Source organism: Homo sapiens, chromosome 18, assembly GCF_000001405.40.
Source record: "Homo sapiens chromosome 18, GRCh38.p14 Primary Assembly".
NCBI lineage: Eukaryota > Metazoa > Chordata > Mammalia > Primates > Hominidae > Homo > Homo sapiens.
The window spans coordinates 62,972,008-62,989,823 of NC_000018.10; the positions used below are offsets into that span (position 1 = coordinate 62,972,008).

At 47.5% G+C, this 17,816-nt stretch overlaps 1 protein-coding gene across 1 annotated transcript in view; it reads left to right on the plus strand.

Moving 5' to 3' along the window:
• Positions 1-8,426, plus strand: part of PHLPP1 (PH domain and leucine rich repeat protein phosphatase 1) — a 264,893-nt gene extending 256,467 nt beyond the window's left edge. The window contains exons 15-17 of the mRNA NM_194449.4: positions 507-701; positions 3,390-3,618; positions 6,255-8,426. Of these exons, the coding sequence (NP_919431.2) occupies positions 507-701; positions 3,390-3,618; positions 6,255-7,424 (1,594 nt within the window). The 3' untranslated portion in view covers positions 7,425-8,426. The remainder of the gene's footprint in view (positions 1-506; positions 702-3,389; positions 3,619-6,254) is intronic.

A 17,816-nucleotide genomic window follows, 5' to 3' on the forward strand; every position in this document is an offset into this window, starting at 1 on the left:
CCTAGGTGATAGAGGGAGACCCTGTCTCAAAAAAAAATAAAAATAAAAATAATTTTTTAAAAGTCATTTGAGGCTTTTTCTGTATTTGTACATGCTTTTCATATAGGTTTCGTCTATTTTTCCCAGTGTTTTAGTTTTCTATTTTGGCTGGATGTGGAGATTGTGGTTAATAACTGCTTATTGAATGTATGTGTAGATATGGATTCATAATCTTCTCTTATTTCCCATGCCTCTTTTTCCCCTTCTGTCACTGACATTTAAAAATAAACTCATCAGAAGAGAAGCATGTAGGAAGGCATGTGTGAAGCATAATTTGTGCTCATCCTTCTCTGCTTATCAAAATTGGCTGTTGGAAATTAGCTGGAGTCAGTTTACCTGCCCTTAATCTGTCTGGAGTCATGAAGAAAGAGACAAAACTGAGTTAGGAAAATCTTGAAATAAGCACTGGGCTGGGCCTGGAGCAGGAGGATGAGTGGACTCAGCACAGAAGTGTGGTTGCCTTGCAGGTTGTGTGTCGCAGCCCTGTCGGTGAATAACTTCTGTGACAACCGCGAAGCCCTGTATGGTGTGTTTGACGGAGACCGGAATGTGGAGGTGCCCTACCTTCTCCAGTGCACTATGAGTGACATTTTGGCTGAAGAGCTGCAAAAAACAAAAAACGAAGAAGAATACATGGTCAATACATTCATTGTCATGCAAAGGTAAAACTCAGAGTTCCTGCTTACCTGCTGTGTGTTTTCTTGCTCTTTGAGTGTTTATCCTCTGTTTAGAAAAGCAGGTGCCCAATGGTCTCCAAGCCATGTTTTTTGACTATGAGTACCAAGATGCATTCAGGCAAGTTTGGTGTTGCCCAGGCATCAGGAATGGTGCTCCGGTTTGAGACATACTGATGTTCAGACAACTTTGTAGAAGGCTCAGACAATGACAAGGAATTAGTTTCTCTGAGAACTGGACCTCACTGGCCTGTGTTGATTGCAGATTTTCATCAGATTGTTTGCAATGCCATTTCTCCTCCCAAATCATGTGAGCTGTAGGGGCTTTTTAGACTTTCTGTTGTGGGGACCTCTCTTTGAAATGGACCGTTTCTATCCTAGTTTCTTGGCCCTTATGAAATACTATCACTGGTTTGAGATAGTGCAAACCTTTGTGAAATCAAGATGGTCAGATTTTAGCCCAAGAGTTAAATCATTCTTTATATTTTGTTTTCTCCTTTATTAAATGTTCAAGACAGTGTTACTGGCAGAATCCTAGGCCATAGCCTGGAGTTGCCACCAGCAGCAGAGCTTTAGGTTGCTGTAGAAATTGTGGAATATTGTTTGTAACTCTTAGAGGAATGAGGATTCCTTCATTCAGAGAATTGTTTATTCTTACCACCTTCATGGCTTTCTAGGTAATAATGGAATTGCCTGTCTATAAGTATTGTGCTGCAGACTCACTCATGTGGGACCCAGGAGTGATGAATGTACTGGTATTTGAGGTCATGAGAGCAGTCATGGTGTTTTATCCTTATCTGCTCTTTCTCTCCCTTGATATTCTGCCAGAGCAAGTAGCTTTGTTAGAGGGGTAGAAGTGGTGTCTGGGGAGGAGTGTTCAGAGCAGCCTTTACAGTGATACCTGCATCACAAATGGTTCCTCTCAGAGAGCTTGGTGGAGGCAAGCCTGGGGTGGTTCTTGCTGCTACACTCACCCCTGACTTTCAGATTCTCAGTGAGCATATACAATTAGCAACTGAACAATAATGGCTAATATCCAGCAAGCCCTTAATATGTACCAGTCATTGTTCTAAATTACCTTATGTGTCATAAATTGTTACCAGTTAGCTGGGTAATGTTACTGAAAGTGATGTACAGTGAGGTGAAGCACAGTGCCTACGGGCTAATAGGTAGTGCAGCCAGGACCTGACCTCAGGTTGTGAGACTCCCTTCAAAGGATGTTGTAACTAGCAGGCACATCAGCTTTCCTGTTTTTACCACCCTTTTGTTCTAGAAAAACAGCAAGCATGTATCATATGCACACACATACACATGTGCATACAGACCACAGCACAAACACATCCCTTCACAACCCCCAAAAGGTCTGCTTTTTATGCACCCTCAAGCACTGGGTAAGAATTAAAAACTGAGAACCCCAGTCTCGGATTACTTGCTATACTTTTTACAAATCACTGTGCCTGTGAAAGGGAGAAAGTAGAGATGCCTTGGAAGGGTCTAGAGCCAAATATCTGAAAGTTGGAGTTTAGGAACCTAAACTATAGGCCCTTCTCCAGGGTCTTTTGTATGTCTCTTATTTTCCCTATCTGTTAAGAGGGTACGGGTTGTGTGGTGAGCTTTTGGTCCTTAGGGGAACTGGTCTTTGTGCGGGATTTCCTAATGCATGCAAGTAGGCAGCCCTGGTTTCCATTGCTCTTCTTGCCAGTTGCTTACCTTACACACGTGATAGGAGCAGACAGTACCTGAGGGTCTGCCCTTGTAAAACGGGAGGCTGTTTTTCTTAACTTTCTTGCTCCTGTACCACTCAGGAACAGCAGGGGCCTGGGCAGTGTTACCATTTGTGGGGCTTGCCATAGTTGTTCATGAGGCCATGGGAGCAATAATGGTCTTTTGTCCGTCTCTGCCATTTCTCTCCCTTGATAATCTGCCAGAACAAGTAGCTTTGTAAGAGGGGTTTTTGATTTTTGATTTTCAGAATTTGCAGGTGCTTTCTGTATTTGGTAGGTCTGTGGATTCTCATGATTAAAAAGATAAATCACAAGCACTTGGTATTTGATTACTAGAATGTCCTTTCTATGAGTTTTCTAGAATAGATGGTGCTGGTCCAGAAAGTCTTTACTATATAGGGCAGGAACATGAACACTCCAATACTTCAAGGCTGCTACCAGCAAACACCCTTATAAGGGGGAGAGGGTTGTCAGGTTTTTCTAAAGTGTGCCTGTCAGTGGGGTAGGGTGTTTATACCTGCTCTTACATACATGGTTTTTTCAATGTTCCTTTCCTGGGGACAGAGGGGATTTAGAGAAGCAGATGGAGAAAGAAGTCATTTTCCTGCTGTCTTTGGAGTGTGCTGATAGGGCAGTGTGGTTGATGAGGGTAGCAGGCTGTACACAGCAGCCCAGGGGCACCCGCCTTCCAGAGCAGCACCTGTGGCTTTTAATGGTACAGTGATACTGTCTTCCAGTTGTGAGCCTCTCTGTGTGGATGTGTGTGATGTCAGATTCAGGGGCTCTTTTCATCAAAGAGGCAGAGCAGTGTGTGCTTTGATGAAGGAGGCGGAGTGGAATCCCCAGCTGTCTCCTTCCTGGCCCTGTCCAGTGGTGCGGTCTTGCTGTTGAATTTGCAGAACTGGCACTGATGGGCTGTGTTTGAGTGTCACCCCCTCTCTTCGGATTCCAGGAAACTTGGAACTGCTGGGCAGAAGCTTGGTGGTGCCGCTGTCCTTTGTCATATCAAGCATGACCCTGTGGATCCAGGAGGATCCTTCACCTTGACCTCTGCTAATGTGGGCAAGTGCCAAACAGTTCTCTGTCGAAATGGAAAGCCGCTGCCTCTGTCCAGATCTTACATCATGAGCTGTGAAGAAGAGCTGAAGAGGATTAAACAGCACAAGGCCATTATCACTGAGGTGAGAAAACAGGGGTGTTGCCCAGGATGGTGGAGAGGAGAGGAGAGGAGACCAGGTCATAGCAGAAACTAGCTAGGGAGCATTTGCCTTCAAAGAACACTTTTGAAGTTGGTTTGACATTAGAATTCCAAATCCATAGTATCACAAAGCAGATGTCTTACATTATGATGTATATGCTTGTTGGTTGCCTCTCTGCATCAGGCACTGTGCTGCGTGCTTCATGGGCATGATCCCATTCCATGTTTGCAGCCACTCTGCAGAGGGCTGCTTTGGTGGTTGAGGGCTCTACCCCTGACATCACACTGCTAGTTTTCATATCTTAGCTCTGCCACTTGTAGGTTGTGACCTTTAAACCTCTCTAAGCCTCAGTTTTCTCATCTGTAAAGTGGGAATAATCATGCATCTGTCCTATCTTACAAGGTTGGTATGACTTGTAAACTATGAACGTCTATGTAAGTGTACTAGTTGTTATTTTGGTTCATACCTCATGTCCCATTTGAGTACACAGTAAGCAGTTTTCAACTGGGGGCAGTTTGCTTCCCCACAAGACATTTGGCAACATATGGAGACATTTTTGGTCATCACAGCTGGGGCGGAGAGTGCAATTGACATGCAGTGGATTGAGGCCACTGAGCATCCTACAGCGCTGCTAGGACAATGCTGCTCAACACCCCACAATGCACAGGGCAGTCTCCACAACACAGACTGTGGTGTGTGTGTTTGGAGGGCGTGTCTCAAGGAAGAGAAGTAAAATACAATACAAAACAAAACCTCGTTGTTGAGTATTAAGCAATGCAAACAAAAGCAGGGAAGAGGCGAGGCACAGAAAACAAGAGAAGTCTGACGTGCAAACCATGATTCATGTAGGTCACAGAAATCATTTACCTTCAATTGTGTTTGGCATAATGTTGAACTAAAGTTGAAATCAGTGCATTCTGTACACATTAGACTGTCTTCTGCTCCCTAGCACAGTGTCTACCATCCATGTGCATCCTCTCTGCTCCAAGAATAGACAGAGAACAAATTCACACAGACTCATTTGCACAGAATCCCATGTATAGCTTGAGTCTTTCTGTTTCTTTCTTAAGGCCCTCATCAAAGCCTGTGTGGAGTCAGTCTTTTTTCTCTACTGGACTATAAGCTTTCACCAGAGTCCACCCCAAACTGTACATGGTTCTATGGGTTTTATCAACAATGTAAGACTGGAAACCTCTTGAAGGTAGATGTTTCTTTGCAGGTCACTGCTGTCTGCCCACGTCATTTTTTCAGGCACAGGGCAGATGACTGACACTTTGATGAATTAGCGAATGGAGCAGAACTCCTGGAGCCCATGGTGGAAGCTTCATTGCTCATGAATCACAAAACCATTGGTTTTGATAGAGAGAAATCTAAAGGGATGGACAGAACAGCAAGAACAGTTTCTGCCAAATTCCATGCTTTGGGGACAGATTATGTCAGTAGAATCAAGGCAGTTTAAGGTTGTGCTTGAAGCCCATCTTACTAATTTTACTAATAGGAATGCTTACCTGCTTATAAGTGTGGTGTGGCAAAGTTGTGTGAGAAGCTGGGAAAGACATCCCTAGGACAAGTAAACACCTTGCCAAATCCCAAATAAAGGGAAGTGGTAGGACTGGAAAGGAAATGGATATTCTGTGGAAGAAACACTTTGTCATCCCAGACAGGGATTTGTCATAATGAAGCCTTTCCTGGAAAGAAGTGTTAAAACTAGGGCATGTAGAGGTATGTCATGGACCTGAGAATCTCAAAATTTGAAGAATAAAGAACCAAGCAGGTACACGTGGCAAAAAAAAAAAAAAAAAAAAAAAAACCCAGGTCTTTTTATTGGCAAGTGGTCTGGCACTTTGGTAATTGATTTAAATAGCATGCACACAGCTGAACTAAAGCCAGCAGATCTTGCCTTCTCCATTGGTCAACAGGAAATCAAGTTCAAGGAAGTTGTAAGAATTGGCATTTCTTCTTTAGCATCTGTTCTCCTGACATGAGCATTCTTACCCACCTAGTCAAACCAAGGTTTTCTCCACCGCTTAAGTACTTTCAAGTCCTCTCTGGACCTTTAGACACTACTGCCTCTTGTGATCATGGAGAGCAATGGAAGATTTAGGAGCATTGTCTTGATATATGCCTGCGTCATGTGTCTTTGCTCAGGACTGGCTTCTATCAGAAAGTCTCTTGCTACCTCAGAGTCTTCCTACACCCAGCCCGTCTGAGGGCCGATCCTTGATCACCATGTTCACCAAGGGAGGGAAGATGTAAACCCATGTTTACAGGAGGAGCTAGCCAGCTATGCTTGCTGTGTAAGGCTAGATGATGGCTTGCTTTAGATAAACAGCAGGACTTGTGACCTAGTGTGAATGGGGTCCCAGTAACACACATAACCGAAATCTTTTCCTTTTGTCCCTACTGCTCCTTACCTGCCCAGGCCTACTACCTGGGGTTTCTGATGACAGGTGCACATTAACTACTCACTACAGAGTGAGCCCTTCTTTCCTCTGTGGGCCACACAGCACTTCTCTGTGGTCCTACAGTCGAGACAGTCGAGGGACCCGCAGGGAACCTGCACAGTTGCCGCAGGTGCTCTGTATTAACTGTCTGTCTGCAAACCCTTGTTCTTCCAGGATGGCAAGGTGAACGGAGTGACTGAGTCCACGCGCATCCTGGGCTACACCTTCCTCCATCCCAGTGTGGTGCCTCGCCCCCACGTGCAGTCCGTGCTCCTGACTCCCCAGGATGAGTTCTTCATCCTAGGCAGTAAGGGGTTGTGGGACAGCCTGTCCGTCGAGGAGGCCGTGGAAGCCGTGCGCAACGTGCCCGATGCCCTGGCTGCTGCCAAGAAGCTGTGTACCCTGGCCCAGAGCTACGGCTGCCACGACAGCATCAGCGCTGTGGTGGTGCAGCTCAGTGTCACTGAGGACAGCTTCTGCTGCTGCGAGCTCAGCGCCGGTGGGGCTGTGCCACCACCCAGTCCTGGCATCTTTCCTCCCTCAGTGAACATGGTGATCAAGGATCGGCCCTCAGATGGGCTGGGCGTGCCGTCCTCCAGCAGCGGCATGGCTTCCGAGATTAGCAGTGAGCTCTCCACTTCTGAGATGAGCAGCGAGGTGGGGTCAACAGCCTCCGATGAGCCCCCGCCCGGAGCCCTAAGCGAGAACAGCCCTGCCTACCCCAGTGAGCAGCGCTGCATGCTCCACCCCATCTGTCTGTCCAACTCCTTCCAGCGCCAGCTATCCAGCGCCACGTTCTCTAGCGCCTTCTCCGACAACGGCCTTGACAGTGACGATGAGGAGCCCATCGAGGGCGTCTTCACCAACGGCAGCCGGGTGGAGGTGGAGGTGGACATCCACTGCAGCCGGGCCAAGGAGAAGGAGAAACAGCAGCACCTGCTTCAGGTGCCAGCAGAGGCCAGTGATGAGGGCATTGTCATCAGCGCCAACGAGGATGAGCCAGGTCTGCCCAGGAAGGCAGACTTCTCTGCCGTTGGGACCATTGGGCGCCGGAGGGCCAATGGCTCTGTTGCGCCCCAGGAAAGGAGCCACAATGTGATAGAGGTGGCTACAGACGCACCTCTTCGAAAGCCTGGAGGCTATTTTGCTGCCCCGGCTCAGCCGGATCCTGATGATCAGTTTATCATACCCCCGGAGCTGGAAGAGGAGGTCAAAGAAATCATGAAGCATCACCAGGAGCAACAGCAGCAGCAGCAGCCGCCACCACCCCCTCAGCTCCAGCCGCAGCTGCCGCGGCACTACCAGCTGGACCAGCTGCCAGATTATTACGACACGCCACTATGACCCAGCCGAGCTGTTTAACAAATAAACTAACCACAAAAGACTGAGTTGCAAGAGTCTCCCAGGCTCACATTAAACCAGGGGTTTTACTCCACATCCTTCCCCCAGACACTGTTCCCAACCTGTCATCGCAGCTAATCTGTAGGTTCTCTTTCTTTGGGTTATTTTTTTAAGTAATCACCACTTTCTTCTAGTGATGCTTTACCAATATGATTTACATTTGTTAACTTCTCCCCCTAACATATCAGATATGTAAAGACAAAGAACAAAAGGTTTAATATATTACAGAGAAACAGTTAATGATAATGTAATATTTTTTAAAATGGCTTTTTGTTGTTTGTTTGGAAGGCAGGGCAGGCTGCCGTTGCTAAATGATTTAATAATATTGTAATTCTGTATTTCTTTGGGGGGAAAAGGCTTTTGTTTTGTTTTGTTTTGTTTTGTTTTGTTTTTGTCTTGAAAATAATAGACATTTGTAGAATATGGAGACTAACTCCTAGGAGTTGCTTTACTCTGTCAGGTGACTTAAGTCACTGGGATTCACTAATTTTCTCTGAGAGAACAGCTGATTGAGAATTTCCATTGTAAATAGCTCAGTGTTGTATAGTGAGGCTTACGATGTTTTGTAGTCTTGGCGTAAGGACACAGCCCAAGTAACTGACGTTTCCCCTCCCCCTCCCCTCTGAGGAGCCTGCCTGCCTCACAACTCACCCTCACTTCACTGAATGAGGAGGCTGAGCAGCTGCAGTGTTTCTGTCCGGAGGAAATGGATCTTAGGCCACTGGACAAGAACCTGCACCCAAGGGCCCTGAACCCATTTTCCTCCCCTGTCCCAGCCTTCCCACTTTGACAGACACTTTTAACTGTGTTCCTTACTGCTGCCACAATCAGCATGGTTGTATAGTGCCCCATTAGGCCATTTACATACCCAGAGTTATACTCAAGCAGAATGCACAAATGGACATGTCATAATTTTTGTTACAATAAATATGAAATTTACAAGTATTTACAAGTATCTGCTTTTGTCTCAGCAGCCAGATGTTTCTTGGAGACAGTCACACTAGCTTGCGTTTAGAAAGAATGGATGGAATATTGGGGTTATCAGATATTTCTGATTTTTTTTTTAAGAGAAAAACATCCAGTAAGTTAACCTACATTGAATGAAATGTGAAATTAACCAAATGGTAAGCAGTATAATTAGCTGATCTTACAGCTTTTCTTTTCTTTTCTTTTCTTTTTTTTTTTTTTTTGAAATGGAGTCTCGCTCTGTCTCCCAGGCTGGAGTGCAGTGGTGTGTTCTCTGCCCACTGCAACCTCCGCCTCCCGGGTTCAAGTGATTCTCCTGCCTCAGCCTCTGAATAGCTGGCATTACAGGCACCCGCCACCATGCCCAGCCAATTTTTGTATTTTTAGTAAAGATGGGGTTTCACCATGTTGGCCAGGCTGGTCTCATACTCCTAACCTCAAGTGATCTGCCCACCTCAGCCTCCCAAAGTGCTAGGATTACAGGTGTGAGCCACTGTGCCAGGCCTGATCTTACAGCTTTTCTATTTCTTCTTATGACTTAGGGTAAGATGTTTGGGTACTTCTTAGGGAAGATGTGAGAAGGGGGATAGACAGAGGTTGCATAGATAGGGGAGATCCCTGGACAACTTTACTCTCACGAAGCGAAGTTTTCAGTTTTCCTGGGGGGCCTGTAGCTCACATAAGCAGGTTAACCTGCCTCTTACTTGGACAGGGTCAATCAAGCTGGTTGGCTTGCCTTCCACCACCAGCAGGAATCGTGTAGGTGCAGCGGTGTGTACTTAAGAAAGCCAGTATTCCCAGCTACTAGTCAACTGCATTTACAGACAGGGACCTCCGCCTTCACCTCGCCCCCACCCTACACGTGTGAACCTTGTGTGGAAGATACTGTTGGTCTTCATCTCACATGGACCACCTTCCTATGTAGACCTGGCTTCCTTCTTTAGGTCTGCCCTTGGGTGGGACCTGGCTAATTCAGTGACAGGGCAGTTCTTATTTCTTAACTAGTAGACTTGGTGGTGGGCTCTGTGTCCCCCTCTAGGAGGCCGCTGGGTGGACTTTGTTTTCGTAATGGCCGTACTTCATTTCCACATCAGGCTACTTGCACACAGTGCTCTTTGGAAACCACTAAAGCCATGGAAGAGAATTGCCTCATCTCGGCCCAGTGAGAGACCCAGGGACCAAGGAAGCTGACTCCCCAGTACAGGCGGAGCGCTCTGGCTGAGACTGGAAGCTAAACCACCTTGGGACCCCTGCCCCGGTTCCACTTCCCAGCCCCTTACCTTGTCCCTCGGGCTGCCCCACTGGGTTGAAGCAGATGTGGACAACTCCAAGCTCTCACACCGACGCCTTAGTTCCTGCAGGTCTGGGCTGCTTCTCTGACTTCCTCAGTTCTTAAACCCCCTCTGGGCAGGGTTCACCTGTCCCCGGGGGTGGAGCACACCCCGGCCTTGTATGTGGATCTCTTCCACCGCAGCTCACTTCCAGAGTGGTCAGAACTGGCTGAGCGTGGTCCACGGAGGCAGCAATCGCTTCCAGATTCTAAAATGGGCCCCACAGCAACTCTGTGCCAGGGGCAGCCACTGGGCCCCACAAGCTCTGATGCAGGGACACCTCATTTCCTAACTTCTGTGTCTGCTGCAGGAGAAAGGGGTATGAGACTTGGAATTGCTTTTTTCCTGAGTCCTCCAGTTTATTTGTGCTTGCTGCTGGGTTTATTGTCTCTTTTCGGTCCCATTGTGCACATACTACATGTAAGGCACCTTGGAGTGAGACTGCCCTTTGGAGGCTTGGGGTAAGTAGGGCATTTAGATGAAAAGGTAATTCAGTCAAGCACATGTTGAGTGACCAAAGTGGCATAGACTTAGCTGATAGGTCTCCATGCGGTTGCATAGGAGCTGCCTCAGTTATTTCTGAGGAGTTTCTTTGCATTTCTGTTTATCCAGATAGCATCTAATAGTATATGTAGAGCTGCTTATACAACTGAAAGTGCTTTCTGAATATTAAAGTGCTTAATATTTGAAGATCCCTGAAGCCACAGTGTCTGCAGGGTAAGTATTAGGGAGAAGGGCATTCCCGCCTGCTCTATTCCCTGCTTCCTGCTGGAAATCCAGATAATTGGGAAAGGGCTTTGAGGGGAGAGAAAGGAAGAAATGAAACGGGAAGCGGAGAGCTGTGGTGAGCCTTGCTAGGAGAAGAACCCCTGATCGAGGACCCTAGAAACTGTTTGGTGTTGGATCCAGCGCATGCTGCCCGCCCTGTGCTGCCCTCAAGCTTCCTGCCCTTCGCTCCTGCTCCCGAGCACTGGCTTTGATGAGAGGTAGCAGAGCCGATCTCTGGGACCCAGAAACCCCACCTGCCTGCCTTGGTTTCTCTTGATTGCTTTTGTCACAGCACCACCTGCTGGTAAGCTTAGACTTTGGGTGGAAATGGGCTTCACTCTTTATCCTTCCTTCACTTTCCCAGAAGAAACAAAGTGTTTAAGTTTCTTATCACTGTATTTTCGTAAACACATGATAGCAAACTCCTATACCACTGTCAAGTATAGCCGAGAAGCTGTGTTTCCGCTTTGTAAGACAGTAGAAGTGATGACAGCTGGTTCCTGTGATGAGCCTGATTTTCCATGGGAAATTGACATGCAGAAATATTAAGATGGATAACCAGAATCATATAGTTTTGCTGGGAGAGAAGTCTGTCTTCAATGTCCATCTAATTCCCAATTCCCCTTTCCATGGTTAAAAAAAGCAAAACACAAAGCATCTGTTAACATGTTCTGGACCTTATAGGATAACACCTGAGAGTCCCCTCACCACTGGCACTGCAGGGGAGAGAAGAAGAATTCCATTTGATCATGTGAACATTCATCAAAGGGTATTTTGAGTTCATCCCTGACATGTTATCACAAGATAGAATTTCAGGCCGGGCACGGGGGCTCATGCCTATAATCCCAGCACTTAGGGAGGCCAAGGCGGGTGGATCACTTGAGGTCAGGAGTTCGAGACCAGCCTGGCCAACATACTGAAATCTCGTCTCTACTAAAAATACAAAAATTAGCCAGGTGTAGTGGTGCATGCCTGTAATCCCAGCTACTCGGGAGGCTGAGGCAGGAGAATCGCTTGAACACAGGAGTCGGAGGTTACAATGAGCCGAGATTACGCCACTGCATTCCAGCCTGGAATGCAGAGACTGGAACAGCCTGGCGACAGAGACTCTGTCTCAAAAAAAATTTTTTTTTCTTTTATTATCATACTTTAAGTTCTAGGGTACATGTGCACAACGTGCAGGTTTGTTACATATATATACATGTGCCATGTTGGTGTGCTGCACCCATTAACTCGTCATTTACATTAGGTATATCTCCTAATGCTATCCCTCCCCGCTCCCCCACGCCACAACAGGCCCCGGTGTGTGATGTTCCCCACCCTATGTCCAAGTGTTCTTATTGTTCAATTCCCACCTATGAGTGAGAACATGCGGTGTTTGGTTTTCTGGCCTTGTGATAGTTTGCTGAGAATGATGATTTCTAGCTTCATCCATGTCCCTGCAAAGGACATGAACTCATCCTAAAAAAAGATAGAATTTCTATAAAGTGTGGGTTTCTGGTATCTGCCTTACCTACCTCTCCAGCAATCAAATTAGGTCATGTATTTGCAGTAATTTAAATACTAAAGCCTTATGTAAGTGTAAATATTGTCATTGTTACAAATGAAGGAACTAAGGGGCGTCTGAAAGAAAATAATGAGGAATGCAGCAAAAGCACCTTTTTAAGCCAGGTATGGTACTGTGGGCCTGAAGTTAGTCCCAGCAACTTGGGAGGCTGAGGCTAGAGGATCACTTGAGCCAACGAGTTCAAGGCCAGCCTGGGCAACACAGCAAGCCCCTGACTCTTAAAAAAAAAAAAAAAAGAAAGAAAAAAGTACCTTTTTGAAAATGGGAAACTCTTAAGTCACTTATTACAATTGTTATAGAAGGAAAAGCACTGGTAATGATGGAGAAAATGGGCTTCTCTCATTTGTTGCCATTTCATTTTTCTTTCATTGCATCCCCCTAACTCACACTGTGCAAACTAGTCTATGGAAACTCTTATCTCACTATTGTCATTTATCTGTCATGAACTGATTCTTATTGCTATGTATTTGAAAGACGGCTCTAAGGTGGTTTTTTTTTTCCCCTAAGCCTCACCCCACTCAGCACCAAAATTACAACAAAGTTCCAACTTAGTACGGCGAGTCTATTGCCCTGCTCACTAAGTGAATGTAGGAATTACATCTAGCAGACAAAGCTTTGGGCTGGTGATGGAAAGCACACCCCACCGCTCACACCCTCCTGCTTCACTGTGTGCATTCATTCAACGTGTTTAGGAAACACCAGTAAAGAGCTGGCTACTTTGCATGGCTCTGCCTCACCAGCACGGGGCCCTGAGAAAATGGCTTGGTGTGGAGGTGGCTGTGCTAACCTCATGAGGGTGTGAGCCAGCCTGACGATGGCCTACGGGCCCACATGAATGGCAGAAGCCAGTGTGGAGGCCCCATATATTGTCCTGTTCCTTCTGGAAGACTAAGGTTGAACACTGCCGAGGAAATTGGCAGATGGGTCCTCAAGGCAGCCGTCCATTTTCTGGGGTGTGTGGTAGAAAGCTGGAGGCTATGCTGTCCCCAGCCCTGATGTGAGTACCCATAAACAATCATGGCATTTCTCCAGCTTCGGTTCATGAGTCCCTTCATTTTATGCCCAATCAGAAACACAGTGTTCTTCTATCCTGTGCAGAGGGGGAAGCAACAGAACACTTGGAGAATTTTCTTCCATCTGCTCATGACTGGAATTGCTCTCATTGTCATTCCTCCGCTTTTCTAAGGACAGGGAAGGAAAACTGCCTTCACTGAAATCACAGGTACTTTCTAGTCATTCAGTTTCTTAGGTCTTATTCCATTCTGGTAAGCTGGCACTTTCCCCTAATTACCAATCTTACCTATTGAGAGAAAGTTGAAATGGCAACAAAGATGGTTTTCCCAAATGCTACACCTCCAGATGTTGACTTTTCTTGAACTCATAAATAAGTGATTTGCTCTTCTGAATTTTCAAGAAAACTGCTCCACAATTAACATTCAAAGTTTCTTAAACTAGTTTTCACTTAATAGAAATTGCCTTGTAAGCCACGAATAAATCAAGCACACAAAATAAATGTATTTTATTTGCCTTATGATCTGTAATACTGTAATGCTGTAATACACCTCCTCCTAGAGCATTTCAGATGGTTAAAAATAGCTTATTTAAATGTGTCACATCCATATACACCATGGAATACTATGCAGCCATAAAAAATGATGAGTTCATGTCCTTTGTAGGGACATGGATGAAATTGGAAATCATCATTCTCAGCAAACTATCGCAAGGACAAAAAACCAAACACCGCGTATTCTCACTCATCGGTGGGAATTGAACAATGAGAACACATGGACACAGGAAGGGGAACATCACACTCTGGGGACTGTTGTGGGGTGGGGGGAGGGGGGAGGGATAGCATTAGGAGATATACCTAATGCTAAATGACGAGTTGATGGGTGCAGCACACCAGCATGGCACATGTCTACATATGTAACTAACCTGCACATTGTGCACATGTACCCTAAAACTTAAAGTATAATAATAAAAGAAGAAAAAATAAATAAATGTGTCATATCACTGCACACCCTGCAAACAACAAGCCATACTTCTTCCTTATGAACAGCAATATGCTGAAACCACCATCTCTCACAAGTTAAGCCCATTAGGATTTTTTTCCCAAAAACTTCAGCAGACATGTGTTACAGTGTCACCTGTGTGTGTCGTTTGCATATAAGGACATAAAGTTTTGTGAGTCCTCCAGTTTTCAAATTTAAATTTTGTTATATTCCTTAGATTCTGGTGTGTTGGGTGTGTATTCTGTCACTATTCCTGGGACATTTCCTGAAGGACGATGGGGCGTGGGGGGAGAGAAAGGACAATGGATGGACATGGCCAAGAACAGCAGTTTGACCAGAGAGGGCTGTTTCCTTTCCATTCTGTTTTAGTCTCAGCTGTCTTAGCGTCACACAGCAGACACCATCTCAAGAGTTGACCTCAGACCCGTTTCTAGGCAGAATATCCACTGTGCTGTTTTGCTGAGTTGGTGTTGTGTTTGTTCCTGCTGGTGCTCCAAAGATAAAGGCTCCTTGGTGCCCCTTCCTAAACTGGTGAGCACCTCCATGCATAAGTGGAGCACTCACCCTGGGCAGAGTGCAGTGGGAGAGGCTCCCAGAGATGGACAATAAAACCACAGTTTAAAAGATGACAATGTGCTGGGGAGACTTAGAACCAACAAACACAGTGGAGTGACAGAGTGGGCTGGGGAGGGCCAAGCCCCACACATAACTGCTAATGGCCAACCCTGAGCTCCAAAGGGCCTCTAAACCCCAGCCCTGCAGTGTGACCCCTGAGAACCGGCTCAGTGGGAAGTTCTTACTGTCCAGCAGTGACCTCCAGGCTCTCCCATCTGCTGGCCTTATGAAGGATAATACTTCCCATCACCAGTGAACGAAGAGGGGCAAATGTCCACATCCCGCAAGCTGCTCCTCCCTGCCACCCAAACAGGCTCGTTCTTAGATGGAGTGCCCTTAGCCATTGCGCTGCAATGCCCAGGAGGCTCCGCAGAAGTTGAACCCCCTCCACATGCGCTGAGTGCAGACGACACAGGAGCAGATAAGAGCGGCCCTGTGCTGCACTGACACTCACTAAGACTCAAACTTGGAGCGCTGAGGGGGAGCAGGGCCAATGCTGCTGTGTGCTGTGCACCGTCAACACCATGGCAACCATTTCCCAGCTGCTTTTCTTGAATGAGCAGGTTTGATTTTGATCAACTTTCAGTCGTACGCGCATGGGGAAGGTGGATACTGCCGGCCATCCCTCGTTCCCATCCAGCACGCTTGCCTCACAGCTGCCTCTGCTGCAGGAACCCTTATCCTGCTCTGTGCACCCCCCTTTCTAGCACCCTGAGGACAGGCCACATGCCCATTAGCAATGAGGGTAGAAGGCCCTGGCATCTTGAGTGAAGATGGGAGGGAGGACACCTGGGGCTCAGCAAGCCCCGCCGTGAGTCTGAGTGGCCTCCGCTTTAGCCATGCTTTTGCTAGAAGCAGCCTGAGGGTCTCAAGGGGCTTATCCTTGACACGGGCCCAACCCTCTGCCCTCTTCTTCTGCCTAGGGCCATGGAGGTGGGTGCTGTCCACAGATTTCCAGCCTCAGTCCCCACTGAGTCCCAGGGCTGCTCAGCCACCCTTGCACTTGTCCCTTCCACACCTCACAGGCACCATTTACCCCCCTGTCCTCAAGCCTCCTTCAAGGAAACGGAGGCCCTGCCCTTCCCTGCTTTCACCTGTCTCCAAGAAAGTGTTCATCCTCTGACTACTTCCCCCTGCCTCTTTCTGACACTTCTGCAACCTGTAATTAGTGCAGGATTCATCTCGTTTACAAAAATAAAAATAAAACCTTCTCTCCTGTACCTGAGTCCGGCCTAGCTCTTCCCACTTCCTGCTCGTGTCCACCTGCTTCTCAGGCAGGCGCCGTCCCCGCCCACGTCCAGGCTGTCCAGGCTTTCCCGTGTGCTCCTCCTGCCACGGCTGCTGTGGTCTCCCCACAGACACTGATACCTTCAGGGACTTCAGGGACCCAGGGACCTGTTTCAGCCTTTGGCAGTGGCGTGGGCCTATCCCATCCCTCTTGTTTCGCCAGCTTTTGTTTGGCCTTTGGTCTGACTTGGAGCTGCTGCTTTGATGCCTCATTTTCCAGGCTCTCCCTGCCTGATCCTGAAGGGCTAAGGGGCCCCAGAGCCCTTCCCTTCACCTCCCTTTCACTTTAGGGGTGCTTCCTGGGCCACTGGGTCATTCCCACGGCTGCAGCCAGGCCCGTCCTCCTTCTGGACACCCCCCTCCCCTTGGGCACCACAAACCAGGGACGCAGAGCCCCTCGCCTCCAGCAAGGTTGGTGCAGGGAAGCGGCCCCCACACCACCCGCCAACCTCCAGGCTCACCCACTTCATCCCCACCTCCCCATCATCTGTCACCAAGTCCTGTCACTCTATGTCCCAAACACCCCCATGAGGGCCTCATCTCATCTCTCCCCCACATTTACTATGGGTTTTATTGGGACGCTCAGTTATCTCCCAGGTTTTTGGAACAGATTCCTGGTGCTTCTCCCAGTCACTTTCACTTTTATTTCTTTTCCCTCCGGTCTTGTCCTCCTCATGACTGCCCAAGAAATCTCTCTAAAACACTGATCGGATCATGTTTCTCTCCCACCTAAATCTCTGAGTTGCTTCTTCTCACATCCAATTAAAAATGCAAATCTTCAGTACAGCATAAAAGACTGCCCCAATTTGACCCTCGGGGATATGAGTTGGATCTGTGTCCCCGCCAAATCTCATGTGGAATTGTAATCCTGAGTGTTGGAGTTGGGGCCCGGTGAGAGGTGACTGGATTCTGGGGGTGCAGTTCTCATCAATTGTTTAGCACCGTCCCCTGGTGCTGTTCTCGTGAAAGTGAGTGAGTGGGTTGTCGTGAGAGCTGGTTGTTTAAAAGTGTGTAGCACTTTCCCCCTCTCTGTTTTCCTGCTCTGGCCATGTAAGACACACCTGCTTCCCCTTTGCCTTCCAACATAATTGTAAGTTTCCTGAGGCCTCCCCAGAAGCAGAAGCCACTATGCTTCCTGTATAGCCTGCAGAACCATGAGCCAAGTAAACCTCTTTTCTCTATAAAGTATCCAGGCTCGGGTATTTCTTGAGAACAGTGCGAGTACAGACTAATCCACCTGGCCACCTTCCCACCATCAGCACTCTCCCCACCCAGGGCACCCAACTTGTCCCAGTTCCCCCAGGACTTTGAGGATTTCAGCCCTGAAGTTCTGACACCCACTGAGTTGGCTGCTCACCCTGTCATCCCCGCCATGCCCTGCTCCTGCTGTCCCAAAGTGTGCATGGGTCCCACGGGAGCATCTCCTTCATGCTGTTGCTTGTTTGCAGTTTTTCCTCCAGTGCTGCTGCTCTGTCCTTTTTTATCGTTCACTTTTGTCTACGTCAAAGTATACATGTAAATCGTTTTTAAAGCCCAATAGTTGAGTGTGCCTGGAAAGAGAAGCATCAGTCCCCTGCTCCTCCCTCCCTCTCTTGTCCTCCCTGGCTCCCTGTCCTCCAGGGCAGCCTCTTTCAGCTGTTCTTGTGCAGTTCACCCCAACCAGAAAGGCTTTGATCACCAGCTCTTCATTTTTTTTTGTGCTTATTACCTTCCCTCTATGAGGATTTTGTGCTCTCACCCCCCTCATCCCATGCACACACACCCTTTTCTCCTGTCCTCCTGACGTTAA